Source organism: Homo sapiens, chromosome 3 (genome assembly GCF_000001405.40).
Source record: "Homo sapiens chromosome 3, GRCh38.p14 Primary Assembly".
Taxonomy (NCBI): domain Eukaryota; kingdom Metazoa; phylum Chordata; class Mammalia; order Primates; family Hominidae; genus Homo; species Homo sapiens.
Genome location: NC_000003.12, coordinates 123901060 through 123918994, shown reverse-complemented (window position 1 = coordinate 123918994; position 17935 = coordinate 123901060). Strand labels below are relative to the sequence as shown.

At 38.2% G+C, this 17935-nt stretch overlaps 1 protein-coding gene across 28 annotated transcripts in view; it reads left to right on the top strand.

The window, feature by feature from the left end:
• Positions 1-17935, top strand: part of CCDC14 (coiled-coil domain containing 14) — a 76054-nt gene that overhangs the window by 42235 nt on the left and 15884 nt on the right. For 19 of the 28 annotated variants that reach the window (NM_001366336.1, XM_005247713.3, XM_047448746.1 and 16 more), the window contains one exon: positions 3277-5573. The exons of 4 other annotated variants lie outside the window; for them this stretch is intronic. In NM_001366336.1, the coding sequence (NP_001353265.1) occupies positions 3277-4216 (940 nt within the window). In that variant the 3' untranslated portion in view covers positions 4217-5573. Of the gene's footprint in view, positions 1-3276; positions 5574-17935 lie in introns of those variants that run through there. 5 more of the 28 variants (NM_001366338.1, XM_047448738.1, XM_006713733.4 and 2 more) reach the window with 1 other exon arrangement.

Genomic DNA, 17935 nt, shown 5'->3' with positions numbered 1-17935 from the left:
CTGGCCTAGGAAAACTTTAAGCAGAGAATTGAGACTCTGCTTAAGGGTTGGGGAAGGCTTGGATGTGATAGTGGTAGGGACTCGGCCCTGGCACACCTGTCAACTGTGCTTTCTGCAAAGCAGTGCTATTGACTGGTCTCTCTGGTCTGATGCTTCCATTGGCAGGAGTGCAGAGTCATTGCCAAGATCTGTGCTGTAGCCGCTATGAGCTGTATCCCTCTTTTTTGTTTTCCGCTAACCCCAAGTGTTCTAGCCCTGTAGGAACAAATGGGGTAATACAGAAGTGGGCTTCCTGAGAAGCATCCCAGAATGCCAGGGAAGTTGAGTATTCACCTCCAGCTTTCTTTTTCTGTGGTAGAAACTGCAGGCCCAGGGGACTCCTCTCTGTGTGGTACTTAACTGGCTTGGAAAGGGGTGAAACTGTTCCTTTTAACCCTGTAATGCAGCTTTTCTCAGTTCTGTGATCCAAGAGAGTGTCTCAGCTCACTCCTGAGTTCTGGGATATTCATGAAGGTGTACTTGTCTGTGGATAGTAGCTAGTTCGATTTCTATGAGGGGGACCAGAGCCAGGAAACTCTTATTCCACCATCTTGCTGGAGATTTTTAAGACTTATTAAAAGAGATGTCACTCTCCTCATAACCTAGAAAGAGGCATTTTTTAAAAATAGAGATATTAGAAGAAATAGCAGGAGCCATTGCCATTTGAAGAACAATTAGAAGTCAAAATACAGTGTGTTTAAGAGGACAGTGTAAGCCAAGTTGGAAAAAATTTGTTTTTAGTTTTGTAGGAGAAAATAATTTATCCTATATACAGAGATATAATCACCACTGACTGTTTAGTATAGAGATTTCTTTTTAGCATTTTATGTTTATGTGTGTGACTACTTTTTAGAAAAATATTGAGTCTAGATTATTTATGGCCTGCTTTTCTTAATATAACCTTATGTAATGAACATTTTCCTATCAATAAATATGCTTTACAACATGACTATAATTAGGAGCTATGATGCAGTTATACCATAATTTACCTGAACCAGTTCACTTTTTTGAAGATAAAGATATATATGTCCATCTATCTTATATTATAACTAATATATTTATTAATATATCTTTGGGTACAACCTCTGTGTAGACCAGTAGGATATTTTTATAAGTATAAATTGGTGGGCCAAAGAGTGTGAGACACACAAAGTTTTAAGGCTTTTGAAATGTATTGGCAGTTTCCTCTCCAGAAGAGTTATACCACTGTACACTCCCACCAGTAGCACCTGCCTCTCCAGGCTTCTCTAACAGTGGGTATTATTCTTATTTTACTATGCTAATTTGATAAGCAAAAAAAAAATCATTTTTAAATTTTGAATTTATTTGATTAAAAGTTGAACTCTTAAAGCATGCTTATTGGCTAGTGGTATTTTTTTGTTAGTTACCTGTTGATGTCCTTTGTATCTTTGTTTAAATTGGTTTTTTGGGTTTTTTTGTTTTTTGTTTTTTTTTTTGGTTGAGATGGAGTTTCGCCCTGTTGCCCAGGCTGGAGTGCGGTGGAGTGATCTTGGCTTACTGCACCCTCTGCCTCCCGGGTTCAAGCAATTCTCATGCCTCAGCCTGCCGAGCAGCTGGGATCACAGGCGCACATCACCATGCCCAGCTAATTTTTGTATTTTTTAGTAGAGATGGGGTTTCACCATGTTGGCCAGGCTGGTCTCGAACTCCTGACCTCAGGTGATCTGCCTGCCACAGCCTCCCAAAGTGCTGGGATTACAGGCATGAGCCACCATGCCCAGCCCTCATTGATTTTTGAGACCATATATAATTCAATTTAAATAGACTAAAGTCTTAGTATAAAATGGCTTTAGGCTGGGCGTGGTGGCTCACGCCTGTAATTCCAGCACTTTGGGAGGCCGAGGCGGGTGGATCACGAGGTCAGGAGATCGAGACCATCCCGGCTAACACAGTGAAACCCCGTCGCTACTAAAAAATACAGAAAAATTAGCCCTGCGTGGTGGAGGGCACCTGTAGTCCCAGCTACTCAAGAGGCTGAGGCAGGAGAATGGCATGAACCCAGAAGGCAGAGCTTGCAGTGAGCTGAGATCATGCCCCACTGCACTCCAGCCTGGGTGATAGAGTGAGACTCCATCTCAAAAAAATAAAAAAATAAAAAATGGCCTTAATAGGACTACTAATAAAGGCTGCCATCAAACAAACAAACACCCACTTAGACTGAAACCGTGCTAAATACTTTATACCTTATTATTTTATCTTATTTAATCTTCATTGTAGTTCGGAAATATCTTCATTTTACAGCTGAGGAACTAGAGATTCAGAAAGGTTAAATGACTTGCCCAAGATCACAGCTAATGATGGCACTGGGATTTAATTCCATTTCTAACTTCAAACCTTCTGTGGTTTTCGTTATACACCTTTCTGGTACCTAGCTGTTGCTTATACCTATTATGCCAGATAATTATCTCTATCCTTTTTTTCTAGTATTGTGCCACACACACACACACACACACACACACACACACAAACACATATATAATGAAGGGAAATAATTCCTAGCAGAATCCATAACAAATGAATAGTGTGTTTCCCTTTGTATCTTAGCCTACCTTTGTGAGGCCAGTTTTTTACTCTGGGGCTCAATTTGTAGTGCTGCTCAAGAATGAACCTAGTGCTGCTCAAGAATAAACCATCTCGGCTGGGTATGGTGGCTTATACCTGTAATCCCAGAACTTTGGGAGGCTGAGGCGGGCAGATCACTTGAGGCCAGGAGTTTAAGACCAGCCTGGCCAACATGGTGAAACCCTGTCTCTACTAAAAATAGAAAAATTAGCCAGGCGTGGTGATGCGCACCTGTAATCCCAGCTACTCGGGAGGCTGAGGCAAGAGGATCACTTGAACCTGGGAGGCAGAAGTTTCAGTGAGCTGAGATCATTCCACTGTACTCGAGCCTGGGTGACAGAATGAGACTCTATCTCAATTAAAAAAAAAAAAAAAAGAGTAAAACATCTCCATACCTTAAAAAAAAATTCTGAGCCTCTATTTTTAGACATAGTGATAGATTCGATACAGACCAATGTATTTTATCATTGTTATTTTAATTATTATATGCTCTTGCCAAAGCACGTTCTGTGATTTTGTGCTTCTAGTTGCTTGTTTTCATATTAAGAACCAGACACTTCTCTCAAATCCTTTTTTTAAAGATGGAGGTATAGATAAGTGAATTAAAGAAACAGGTAAAAAATAATAATTAGTGTTCTGGATTCTTCTTAACAGAACTTTACAGACTAGCATGGCAAAGCTTCTCTCCGATCTTAGTGTGGACAGTGCTCGCTGCAAGCCTGGGAATAACCTTACCAAATCACTCTTGAACATTCATGATAAACAACTTCAACATGACCCAGCTCCTGCTCACACTTCCATAATGAGCTATCTAAATAAGTTAGAAACAAATTACAGTTTTACACATTCAGAGCCACTTTCTACAATTAAAAATGAGGAAACCATAGAGCCAGACAAAACCTATGAAAATGTTCTGTCCTCCAGAGGCCCTCAAAATAGTAACACTAGGGGCATGGAGGAAGCATCTGCACCTGGAATTATTTCTGCCCTTTCAAAACAGGATTCTGATGAAGGGAGTGAAACTATGGCTTTAATAGAAGATGAGCATAATTTGGATAATACAATTTACATTCCTTTTGCTAGAAGCACTCCTGAAAAGAAATCACCACTTTCTAAGAGACTATCCCCTCAGCCACAAATAAGAGCAGCTACAACACAGCTAGTCAGCAACAGCGGACTTGCTGTCTCTGGAAAAGAAAATAAACTGTGTACACCTGTAATCTGTTCCTCTTCAACAAAGGAAGCAGAAGATGCACCTGAAAAACTTTCCAGAGCATCTGATATGAAGGACACACAGCTCCTCAAGAAAATAAAGGAAGCAATTGGTAAGATCCCTGCTGCCACCAAGGAGCCAGAGGAACAAACTGCATGTCATGGCCCATCAGGTTGTCTTAGCAACAGCCTTCAAGTGAAAGGCAATACTGTCTGTGATGGTAGTGTTTTCACTTCTGACTTGATGTCTGACTGGAGCATCTCTTCGTTTTCAACGTTCACTTCTCGTGATGAACAAGACTTCAGAAATGGCCTTGCGGCATTAGATGCCAACATAGCTAGACTCCAGAAGTCTTTAAGGACTGGTCTTCTGGAGAAATGAATTCAGAAGAAAACTCATCAGGTGCTTCTTTTTAAAACTAGAACTTGGCTATATTGAATGTGTATTTTTCTTTAGTGAAATGATGTTTTATGTTATTATGTGTGAAGTAATATATTGTACAAGTAATAAATGTATTGTTGAGATATATTGACACTGAGGAGCTTATAAAAACAAGTCATCTTAAGTTCACAATTGCTACAAGAAGAAAGTTGTGGATAACTAGGAAATTATTGTAAGTAATGTTTTATTTCAGTACTTAGCAATTAGAGTTCTTTTATTAAGATGTATCTGCTGGATTAAGGGTACAGGTTGAAATAGTTCTGTGGCTGTCCTAAGAAATAATGGGAAAAGAATCTCTGGATGTAAGTTTTTCTGTTGAAACTAGAGGGTTTTTTTTTTCTGTTTACATATACTTTTTTTTAATAGCAATGTGTTTTTATTAAACATGCTGTGTGCCACAGGCCAGTGTTGTTGGTGAAATATATAAACATTTATTTAAAGAGAAAAGTTACCAGTATCTACACCTCTTAAAAAACATTGATTGGTCTAAAAAATATATAGATAACATCCTAAGTTAACATATGGCTTCTTAAAACTTGGGCACTTTTATTTGTTTTTATCCCAAATTCATGTTTTAAGGCCTTTAAAGAATAGTCAGACTGATAAAGAAGTGCTAACAGATAAGCTATAGTTGGGGAAATTTGTGGGTTTTTTTTAAATAAGAAATGTTTATTTTTGTCCTTATATTTAAACATGATGGAATTTGTAAATCTTGGCATTGATTGTAATTCTGCCTTTTTGGAAGAATTTTTTCTCCCAGCATGTTAGCTGAGAATATTCTCTATTTTATAAATAATATGAAGTAGGTTGGTCTCTCTGCTTCTCTATACCAGGACTTCTTAGCTCAGTATCATCTCCCTTCATGTAAGCAGCACGTTTTAACTCTTAGGAAGCTGAATGTTGTGTTATCACTAATACTTTGTACAGGTCACCTGCCTACTCTAATTGTCCTTAGTACTTGGACAGGCTTTATCATTAAAGAGTGTTCTCCTAATCCCAGAACCTCCTCGTGTTTTTTGTTTTTTTGGTGGTTTTTTTTTTTTTTTTAGGTGTTAGTGCTACAGCGTTTGAAGGAGCCAGCTGTAGTCTCTTTGATATGTTCAGATTTTCCAGATAGAGATTTAAGTCTAAAAATTTATTAAGTGAATTCTAAACTATTTCACACAAGAGTCCATTAGCATCTTTAATTTTATTTAGTATTCATGAATTAATTTATTGGCATCTTATTTGGAGGTAATAGGCCACAACTCTTTAACAAATAAGTTCAGAAATAAAAAATAATAAAAAAGGAAAAAAATTGTGTCATCTGTCTACTCCCAAATATTTAACTGTTATTCATATGCAAAAGTAAAATCTTAAGATTACCTGGTAATCCTATTTGGCCCTTAACATGGAACAGCCATCCTTATATGCAAAGGAAATTTTTAAACGCTTGTGTGTTCAATTAATTAGTGGCTAATAATTTGATCGAGAAACAAATGAGACTAGAAATTTCTTCAGGGACCTTCAGCAGAAGCTTAGTATTTGATAAAAGACATGCACATGACTTGAAATAGGAACATGCAATAATTTGGTTAAATTTCAAGATGGAATATGAACCTAGCAATAAGGATAGAATACATAGTGAGTTTTATAGAACTTTAGAACAGAAGGAAGCCAAGAGTAGAGGAGGACCTAGAAGAGAACTTCATTTGGATGAATACATAGGATTTGGGTAATCCTGTGAACAGCCTTAAATGTTTCCCCCTTAGAAAGTCAGTATCATCAAAATGTGGAGATTGGTTGAATTTGGTATATTAGGATGTACCGTGGTAGACCAACCTGACTGAAATAGAGGTGGGGAGGGGGTGGTAATAATAAATGAAGAAAACACAATTAGAAGATTTGGGTCAGTTGTGGAATGTCTTGAGCTCCAGGCTGAGGAGTATCCATTAAACATTAAGTCATTGGAGTATTTGGGGATCTGGTGGTGGTGTTTTTTGTTTTTTTGTTTTTTTTCAGTTGAGGATTACCAGGCGAAGTTGGGTATTCTTAAAATGTCATAGAGTGATAGTAAATAGGAAGGATTAGAGGAGGGAGAGACTGGAGACCATTTAGAAAGCTGTTGCAGTAGTTCAGACATAATCCTTTGGCAATAAAAGTGAAAAAGGAGAGGCAAATTGACGAAAATTTTTCAGTCAGCTGGGTGACCAAATAGGAACTACAGAGGATAGAAAAATCAAAGATGACTCCAAGGTTTTCAGTTTAATCAGTTTGAGACACACTGAGCGATGTCTAAAATGAAAAGTCAAGTTCTTAGTTAAGTTCGAAGTTGTCTTCATTAGAATAAAAAGGCGAGGAGAGTCCATTCTCAGTCGTCGTCTTTAGATCATCTCAGCAGGAGTCAGCATTACTGCCTCATCGTAGTCTCAGAAGGGTCAGGCTGGTCCCAGATCCCAGCCCTCTCAGCCCTTTCAGATGTCCCAGAGTGCAAAAAGCGTATTAGTAGATGTCCAGAGTATCCCTAACCTCTGACACACTGAAATTCGTGTCTCCAGATAAGTATTGAGCATGGAGTGAGAACCATCCTCTAGCATTTTGTCACTATTTTACGGTCTTTGATCTGTGGAGGTAATATACAACCCTTTACAATGAATTTAGTAGTTGTGAACACCATTGAAGATAAAAGGTAGAATCTGATGATATTGGACCAAGTGTAGAGATCCTAGGGGCAGGGCTAAAGAACCAAAGAAGTACTTACCACATGTTCTTCCCTTATTCCCACCACCCCTGGAGTTTAGTAAATCTTTCAGAAACCTTTATTTTCACTGATGGTGGCATTTTACTTGTCAAGTGCCTTAAAAGTGATAAAGGCCTGCTCCAACTACATGGAAAGTAGGGCAGCATTGTAAAACCTGCTTAGGTAAAAAGGGCATGCAGCTTCATCACAGCTGACCAGGTAGGTAACTAGTGCTCACATTCCCTCAGCTAAAGATTCATTCACTCAGTGAATGAAATGAAAGCTCTAATATGTGCCAGTTACTATTATAGGCTCTGAGAAGACAGCAATAAACAGGACAGACATTCTGTCCTTAAAGAGCTTATGATACAGTGGGACACAAGCAAAGGAACATATAGTCAGTTCTGTGAAGAAAAATAAAGCAGGGTAAGGGAAAAAAGAGTGATAACGTTGGCTTAAGTTTTAATTACTAGGATAACAGGCCCCTTCTCAAAAATAATGTTTAAGGGTCCAGAATTTAAGCAACCACTAGGGAAAGTTGGGTTTGATTTGTAAGTTAACACTCCCTTAATCATTTTTCCAATGTTAGTTCTAGATTTCCTTTTGCTCCGAATTGCTTAAACATGTGGGTTCTAAGACTATAGCATACCTTAACACACACAATTCAAAGCCCCTTAACTTTTCTGGATGTATTAATATTACCACTTGTAGAGAACCGGGCACTATTTTATTTAAAGCTGTTGTCTTGAGCTAACCCTCCCATAGAATTACCAGAGATGATAAGATCTTAGACTTCTGAAGGGTTTAAAAGTTAACTTTTTGAAAGGACTATAGAAATAATCTCACTGTTATACCCAAAGAAAAGAACTGTTCTACAGTGATACTACTGGATACCTACTACTGGAAGATTCCAAGCACACCAGGGGTATTCCTTTTACCTGGACGGCCTTTTGCCCAAGCTCCTCCTGACAAATTTTTATTTATTCTTGAAATCCACAGTACTACTTCTGTACCTTGCAGATATTTCTAGTGATGTCTTTATCAGTTTACGTATCTGTCTTTCCTACCCTCTACTCTTCTTGAGGATAGGGACCAGGATTGATTCATTTTCAACTGCCCTCATGACCCTTGGTGACTATCATATAGTTTGTACTTAATAACTATTGTTGGACCTAACTAAATCTCTGCAGATGATCACCTAGGCATAACTTGATTTTCTGTTGGTGTTAAGTTCATGAAACAGCTTGTTAATAGTTTTATTACACACATCTAAGTTCCTAGCATTAGCCTCCCTGTGCCTTTTATTCTTCATTCAGTTACTGACTTCTGAAACCAAATTCACTTACTGGCAAACATTTGCACACTTCTGCTTGTGCTGTGGAGAAGCCACAGATTCTTAAATATTTAGGACAGAAACTTTTTTTTTAACCATGACACTAATGCAGAGTAATCTATCCCACCAGCCTGCCTCACCAGTTTTTGGGAGGGATGAACGTAAGCAAAGCACTGGAAAACTGCAGGGCACTGTACAGTCTGTGACTTATGACAATATTTAAAGAGTCCTCACCATCTTGCTTGCCCTCTTCTGATGTCCACCGGTTTGTCAGTGAGTCCCTTAAAATGTAAATCCAGCAATGAACTTCAGATGTGATCTGATCCAGGCGGACGACCATTAGATTGTCATTTTCTATAATCTTATAGTAGTTTTAAAATGGACAAAGGTTGAGTTGGCTATCTTAGCCATCACGCTGCAGATCATATTAGGGCTGTAGTTAGTTTCCCAATAATATTCACATTGTCATTCTTGGTGTTGAGTGGCACCATGTTAGGGCAGCTGGGGCAGGAAGTCATGGGTGGCCATTTTCATCTAGCTAGACATGAGCATTTCCTCGAAGACTAAGGTTCTAACTAGATAAGTGGTCTCAGCTGCTTCTAAAGGAAGAGCTCAAGTTTACCACAAACTCTCAGTGCTTGTTCTCCTTGAAGCCAGGTCTGCTTTTAGAGGCCATGAATAATGAAATATGAAAATTATCATGTGGAAACTGAAATCAGACATATTTAAAGATACTTGCTTAAGGCCGCACACCTAACACCTTAACCAGATGTTGTGATTCTCAGTTGCCTTTCTTCATTATGTTGTCTTCCTGATGACAGCTCAGTCTCATGACCACTGGAAACTTTAGGGCTCCAAATCTGTCACCAGAACCTAGCTCTGTGCCATTCTCTCTCTACTAGCATGGTCTAATAATAAGGAATTCCCTTTGGGATTTGTTCTGAGGATTAAATAAAATCACATGTGAAAATGTTTTGCAAACTACAAACACTAAGTGGATGATAATGATTACTAATTACATGTAGTTGGTCTATGTGTATGTATGTGTGTGTACTATAATAGACACTTAAGTTCTTACTTTTGCTTTATTAAAGGCACACAGTGTTCTTAAAATCTGTTTAGCATGTGACATAATGCTAGTAAAACAATTTCCCCACCTGTCACTTGGCCATTTCCACCAAAGTCATTACTAAAACTTGTTTTAAAGTAGACGGGTTTTTCTCCCATCGACACTGGCATTCAAAGTGAGCTCTGACATTTCCAGGACCCCAGCATTATCTTCTGCTCAGCCCAAGGGTAAGAGGGCTCATTTCTCCACAGAAATCTCAAGAAGACATGGAGAAGAACACCAACTATCCAAGAGGAAAACTCAGTCCCTTTTGGAGCAAGAGACTTACACGTTTGTTCAAATCTATAACAAGAAATGTTGTCAGCCGCTCAGTAGGGAGCACACGGCCAAGGTACATATTTTCATCCCACCATCCTTTCCAGATTATTTTGCACTTGGCTGTGATCTCTAGGCCCAGAGTGGGGTAAGAGACCAGATTCAAATATTTTAAAAGTAAGGAGCTCCAAAACAAGCAGAACAGACCTTCTTGGAGGGTAGTAGTTTGTTTGACGTTTGGCAAGAAGAAAGTAGTAAAGGAAAAATAATTTTCAAACCTAGAGCCTCAATGGATTAAGAGAAAATTAATCTTTCTTTTTTTTAGGTCAGTCAATATGATTAGACTTGCCATCTTAGGATAGGGTGATGGAGCAATTGAAGATGAGACAAAAACTAGAGCAAATCAGTAAATCACATTTGAAAAAATAGGTCTTCACAATTCGGAGCAGTGAACTATATTCTAACATCACCCCTCCCCAACACAAAGCTTGTGATCATTGTTTCACTAGAGACTCAGTCCACCATCACTACCTCTCCCCTCCCCATATCCCAACCAGTCTACAAATCTGTCTGGTCAGATTTTAAAAATAATGGATGACAAAACACTTAAAGCAACTTCTCTCAACTCCTAACATACCCAGAAAGGGTATGAGAATTTAAATTATAGTTTTGTATTATATCTTTGGCCAAAATTTGAGGAAATGCCATGGTATATTATTGATTAATATAAAACACTTAAACAGGCAATGATATTTTAAGTTGGTGGGAAAATTCACTTGAATAACATGGTGCATTAGAAGAGCAGGAGCAGTGGATCAAGAGTCAGGTGACCTAGTGATTCTGTCTTTATGTGTTATGTGACCTTCATTCATTTACAATTTATTGCTGTCTGCCGTGTACTACATACTGAGCATTTAAAGACAAATAAGACAGTGTGCCTTTGAAGGGCCTAGAGCCCCAGTGCCTCCCAAATGAGGAGATACGATCTCAAAGACTCATTCCAGCTCAAAGGGCTAAATTTTCCAAGAGGAAAGATCGCAACACCAAAGGAACTAGCCACGTGGCTTTGGTATGTCCTCCTACCACGTTGGTATCTTACAGAATTTTAGCTTTGGGTTGCTCTTTCTTTTTTACCTTCTTTCCTTCTTTCTTTCATACTAATATCATGGGTGCTCTCCATATTTATTTTTCTTCTTATTTTAATTTCGAAGAGTGTCTTTATATGGTAACTCTGAGGACTTGAACATTTTTCTTTTACCCTCACATTTAAATTAAATAATTTACACTGGTTCTTAATGTGAAGATGGTAATGTAAAGTGGCCCCTTTTCCCCCTTTTGCAGAAACTAAGAAGAGTACAACTCCACCTGCAGGGGAAACAAGGAGAGAGCTCTAAAACCAAACTGCAAAATAGCTAGAAGGACTGAAAAAGCAGGAGTTATCAAGCAGGAGTGCATAGGAGAGGAAACAGTGGATGCTAAGACTCCAGATAGCAGAAAAGGCTAGCAGACTAAATTTCTCGAAGAAGAATGGTTTACCCAGAGGTGAAAAGGGTTTTTTTTTTTATTATATTTTTTTTATTGATGAGGTCTCGCTCTGTCGCCCAGGCTGGAGTGCAGTGACATGATCAAAGCTCACTGTAACCTCAAACTCCTGGGTTCAAGGCATCCTCCTGAATAGCTGAGATTACAAGAGTGTACAACCACGCCCACCTAATTTTTTTGATTTTTTTTTTTTTGTGTGGAGACAGGGTTTCACCATCTTTCCCAGGCTGGTTTTGAACTCCTGGGCTCAAGCAATCCTCATGCCTTGGCCTCCCAATGTGCTGGGATCTCAGGTGTGAGCTACCATGCCCAGCCAGGAAAAGTTTTAAATCCTTAGTTTGTAACAATGGGGAGAGGATCCATGGGCTTTACATAGATTGTGTGTTTAGAGACAGAGAGCATAGGTGCCTATTCCCAAGTGGAAGAATGAACACCAAACAAATTAATGCATAAAACTCTAAATATTAAGGAAAATTCCAGTCCTCCTTACAAGCTTGCTGCAAATAGCTGATCTAAGAAAACTTTCCTTAACTGCTTCAAAAAAAGAGTCATCAAGAAAGATCAGCAGAGGATCTATACTAAAATATTTTTAGGAAATAGGGGAAATAAATAGGAAAATATGACTGTAAACTAAAACCACTTATCAGGAAAACATTGCCATCAAGTAGACAAAAGTTTGTGACTAAGTGTTTGGTCATGAATGTTTATAACTGAATGGAACAGCTATTTATTGAAACCAAGAGCACTGAGCAGAGAAGCAAGAGTCCAGGGCCAAGATGATCTGATAACAGGAGGAGATGAAGCAGGAGTTGGCAGAACTTAGGGAAAAGATGGAAGGACACATTACACCATCTCAGAAATGAAGGCAAAATTGAAAGCAAGTCAAGGTAAAATAGATTAAACATAATAGTTTTGATACAAAATTATAGGTTCAAACTTGTCCTCCCTTCAGCACTTTACTTACTACACTATTGCCTCCCAGCTCTAAGCATGGCTTCTAAGAAATGTGTCATGGAGCAGATCCTTGTTGCTTTGTAGGTGACATAATTTTCCCCTCTAGAAAGCTGTAGAATTTTCTCTGGCTTTGATCATCTTAAATTTCACTCTAATGGGTATGGGAGGTTTTGATCTTTAATGTCACCTGTTAATGCTCTGTGAGCTGCTTAAATCAGTGGTCTTGCATATTTTTCTAATTCTGGAAAACTTCAGTCATTATTTCTTTAAATATTTCCTCCTACTACTTTCTTTTTCTCTCTCCTATGATTTCTATTACACTTCCATTTGAAACTTTCATGTCTCCTTTTTTTTTTCATTTCTTTGTCTATTCTTAACTCTTCTAGAGGAAGTTTCCTGATGTGATCTTTCTTTTTTATTTATTTATTTATTTATTTATTTTAATTTTTTATTTTTGGAGATGGAGTCTCGCTCTGTCGCCCAGGCTGGAGTGCAGTGGCGCGATCTCGGCTCACTGCAAACTCCGCCTCCCGTGTTCACGCCATTCTCCTGCCTCAGCCTACCAAGTAGTTGGGACTACAGGTGCCCACCACCACGCCTGGCTAATTTTTTTGTGTTTTTAGTAGAGATGGGGTTTCACCGTGTTAGCCAGGATGGTCTCGATCTCCTGACCTCATGATCCACCCGCCTTGGCCTCCCAAAGTGCTGGGATTACAGGCGTGAGCACTGCGCCCGGCCTGATGTGATCTTTCATCTCATTCATTGGTTTTTCAGCTATCCCTATTCTGCAGATAAATTCATGTGTTGAGTTCTTAATTTCAACTGTTATATTATTCATACAGTATTTTTTTATAATTGCTTGTTCCTGCTTCATATTTCCAATACTCTCCCTTATCTTGTTAAATGTGTTTATTATGTGTATTTTAAATTCAGGCCTCTCTGGTCCATTGTTTCTGATACCTTTAGCATGGACTGTTAAGCCTGTGCACGTAGTTTATATCATTATTTTCCCCTGTGAGCTTACATTACCTTGGGGAGTATCAGCTACCTGGACAGATAATGTATACCTGGAAGGGAGACTGAAATCCAGAATCCAACTGAGACCCTTCTGATGAGTTATTGAGTGTATGTGATGTGAGGTGGTGGTTGTAGTGATAGGAAATACTCCTTAGAGTGTTGACCTCTGTTACTTCAGTCTGGGTTTGATCATTCCCTGTTTCCTGTATCTTTTTTTTTCCTGAGCTCTACTCATTTTTCAAGAGCTTCCTCCCATAGGATTGGGACAGGGATTAGGCCTGCTCAGGAGTCAAGACATTCTTCTGCACCTGTTGTTAGCCGCTCTTCAAGCCCTGCCGTAAGGCAACTCAAATACTCAGTGTCACTGGCCTAAGTACTGCTCTTCTGCCCCCCAGAAGTGAGAGGTGAGCAATGACTCACTCAGAACAATGTGCGGGGAGAAGAAAAATGAAGGGAGAATGATGTCCCCCAGCCCACCTTCTGCCTGGCCACCTTCTATTTTAGGCTGACATTTCCTATATACCCACTGGTAACCAATCACTTCCTGTCTCCCCAAAGGTTTCTCAGTAGTTTTATGGTATATTCTGTTATCCATTATTAACTTGTCTGTCACTTCTGTAACATTACCATGGTGGGTTCTGAAAGACTAGCAACCCAGGTTCATTTGCCATCTTGTGCTCCCCACTAATGTGTAATGTTACCTCTGTGTCACTCTTCCAGTTCCCCTTTATCTGTGGGTCTGTTTATTCTCTCTCTCTCTCATCTGTTTTACCTGTCTCTGTGCAATACCATACTTTTAATTATTGCAGATTTATAATGTCTTCATATCAGGTAAAATGATCCTTTCTCCCCCCATTCATCTGCAAAATTGTCTTTGTCTATGCTTGGGCCTTTACTCTTCTGTGTGAAGGACCAGTTGATCAAATTCTGTGACAAATTCTCTTGAGATTTTATTAGAATTGCGTAGAATTTATAGGTTAACTTGGAGAATTGCCATTTTTATTATATTGAAACCTCCAACTCATTAATATTGTATAACACTCCATTTACTTACTCCATAAAAATCTTGTTAAACTTTTATAGAATTTATTCCTAAGTACCTTATAGCTTTTGTTACAGTTGCACATCCCAGGGTTTTTTTTTTTTTCTTTTTTTCCACAATGAAAAGACCTTTAGTTTGTTCCTAATCACATAAAAGTAAATCCCACCTGAAATCCCACCATCATGAGATTAACGAGTTGGTTATCCTTTTAAGCATTCTTTATACATACACATAAAAATACACAAGTAATTCTATATATATAGGATCATATCATGCTTGCTATTTTTTTCATCAACACCTTCTCTCACCACCTTCTCTCCTCATACTAGTCCCTTTCCCACACCCTAGCCACACACCTGTAACCTATCTTCATAACCTAATGGGTGATTGTCAGTGTTTTCTCCATGCTCATGAAGTCATATAGGTCCATGATTTATATAGACCTCAGAGATAGCTGGTCGTTGTTTCACAAAAATGGGATCATATGTAACTTTTCTGTATTTTGATTTTCTGACTTAGAAGTACCTTAGGGAAATCCCTCTAGATGACTAAGAAGTCATCTAGTATGGATCTAATTTATTCTCTTCAATGGCTAGTTAGTATTCCATGATATGGAATTATTATATAATGCGTAATTCATTCAACCATTTTGTTCAGTTATACATAACAGAAAATAGCTATTTTAAGTAGAAAGAGATTTAACGTAGGGAATTTGGGACTTACAAAATAACTGGAGGTGCCGAAGTAGCAGGCTCTAGGCTGGGCCTCAAAGAATCATGCCCACAACAGTCCTACAGACCCTTCTCTCCAAGAGAACTGCTGTCTCTGTCACATTCCAGAAGCTGCTGTTCCAGCTGCTGGCTTCAGAATCACACTACCTTAGCTGCAACTTGAGGATCAGGAGGCTACCATGGGAACTTTTTACTCCGGACCTACATTTTGTCTGTCAGATCTACACTAGCGCATCTGGAAAGATTAAATCACAATCTAAAGTCCTAGCTTTGAGGGAGAGTTGGAAATATGTCTTTAGCTTTCCAGCCTCTGCAAAATAAAAAGACACACAAGAAAGGGGTTAACTAAACAGAGAGTGGGCCAGTCTACCAAATCTATTGCTGTGAGCATTCACTTTGTTTCCAGTTTGGGGTCTTCTATGAACACTGTCACACAATTGCCATATGACCTCATGTGTGTGTCTACTGCTATTTCTAAGGAATAGAGTCCCAGGAGTAGAACTGCTGAGCCAAAAGATATACTCATTTTGAAAAACAGATCTTGCCAAATTGCCTTCTAAAGAGGTTGTAACACTTTACACTTCTGCTATAAATGTGTGAAAATTTCCTTCATAGATACCACCAGCAATAAGCAATAGATGCTGTGGCTTGTCGTGTGTGTGTGTGTGTGTGTGTGTGTGTGTGTGTGTGTGTGTGTGTTTGAAAAATAATACTTTTTATTATGGAGAATTTCAAGCATGCACAAAAAAGGCAAATAGCCTAGTGAACTTCTGTGTGTCCATCAGCCAGCCCAATAACCATGGCCAAACCTGCCCCATCCAATTCCTTCTGTTTCATTTTGTTTTAAAGCAAGTTCCTGATGCCTTATTATCTCATCCATAAATATAAGTATAAATGTATTTCTAAAACACAGGAACAGAAAACCAAACACCGCATGTTCTCACTCATAAGTGGGAGTTGAATGATGAGAAGACATAGACACAGGGAGGGAAACATCACACACTGGGGCCTGTCGGTGGGTGGAGGACAAGGGGAGGGAGAGTATTAGGACAAATACCTAATGCATGTGGGCCTAAAACCTAGATGATGGGTTGATAGGTGCAGCAAACCACCATGGCACATGTATACCTATGTAACAAACCTGCATGTTCAGCACATGTATCCCAGAACTTACAGTAAAAAAATTTTTTAAAAAGATAAGCACAATATTATCATATCTAAAAAAATTAACAATAATTATTCATTAAATAGTTAGCTAGTATTTACATCTTACTTGAGGTACACAAATAAAGGTACACAAGTTGCAATTGATTAGTCTTTTATGTCTCTTTTAACAAATTGTCTCCCCTGCCATATTCTTTTTCCTCCATACAATTTATTTGTTGAAGGAACCAAGTTTTTGGTGCTGTAAAGCTTCCCACAGTCTGAATTTTGCAAGTTGCATTTCTATGTTTTGGTGGAAGATTTTCCTCATCCTTATTGCCTGTGAATTGTTAATGGAATCTAAAAGCTTGATCAGATTCAGGTTTGATTTTTATGGCAAGAAGAATTCAAAGGCAGTGATTGTTTCTCCATCAGGAGTCACATAATGTTTGGTTGTCTCCCTCTTCGTGATGTTGGTTAGCAACCATTGATGCTCAGTACCCAGATCTATTTGTTCATTAGGATTGCAGAATGGTGACAGTCTAAATCTACTCTTTTTCATTTATGAGGTGTACTGTCTATAGAGAAAAACTTTCTCACCTCTGCTGTTTGGTTACCCAATGGTATAGTTCATATAAATAAGGCAACATAAGTGCTTGATTCTTTCCCATTATCTACCAGTTTTCAAAATAATGAAATGGTTCCTTAGCATCCTTTAATGATGACTGGTTTTTTTAGTATCATTATGAAGTAATGGATTAAACTTCTTTGATGTGTTTGAATCCATTGCAGTTATGATTTTCTTTGATACTTACATTGTCCCATGTTTGATCTTTGGAAGCTTTACTATGTCTGTTATTATGTTTGCCAGTGTGATGGGTGTTAAGTGATTTTTTTTGTTACTTTTATTTTTATTTCTCTGATTTCTAGTGAACTTGAATCATATTCATATGTTTGTTGGGCCTTTTGATACTACTCATTAGTAAGTTGTTTGTATCCTTTGCACAATTTTCTAATCAGTTCTGTCAGTTTTTAGTCACCATCTTATCAGTTTTTAAGGGTGCTTTGTATAGAAAGTGATCCTTTGTATGAATATAGTAGCACAAAGATTTTTTCAGACACATTGACTGCTATTAACTTTGTTTATAGTACTATTTGCCATACCAAAAAAGTGATTTATAAATGGCTGAGTATGCCTACCTTTTATTTTATAGTTCTTGGTAAGGAAAGTCTCCTCTAACCATAGTGTGTACATATAATCTCCTAGATATTTTTCTTCAACTTAAAATTTTTTTTACATTTAAATGCTTAATATATTTGTATTTATATTTTAATGTAGTGTAAGATGGCAGTTCAACACTTTTCTTTCAAGTGAGTAGCCAGTTATGTCTGCATAGTAAAAAAAAAAGTTCAACTTTTTTCCCATTGAACTACCACTCTGTAATACATTTAAATAATAACTACAATGTAATCATTAATTATTTATTCTGTTCCAGAAATATATTTTGTATTCTTGCTAATGCTATATTGAATTGAATTTATAAGTGTTATAGTATCACTGATATCTTAATAAGCCCCCCTGTGTACTCTGTCTTCTTTTTTTTTTTATTTTTTTATTTTTGAGATGGAGCTTCTCTCTTGTTGCCCAGGTTGGAGTGCAATGGCATGATCTCAGCTCACCACAACCTCCACCTCCTGGGTTCAAGTGATTCTCCTGCCTCAGCCTCCCAAGTAGCTGGGACTACAGGCTCTTGCTTCCATGCCCGGCTAATTTTTGTATTTTTAGTAGAGACA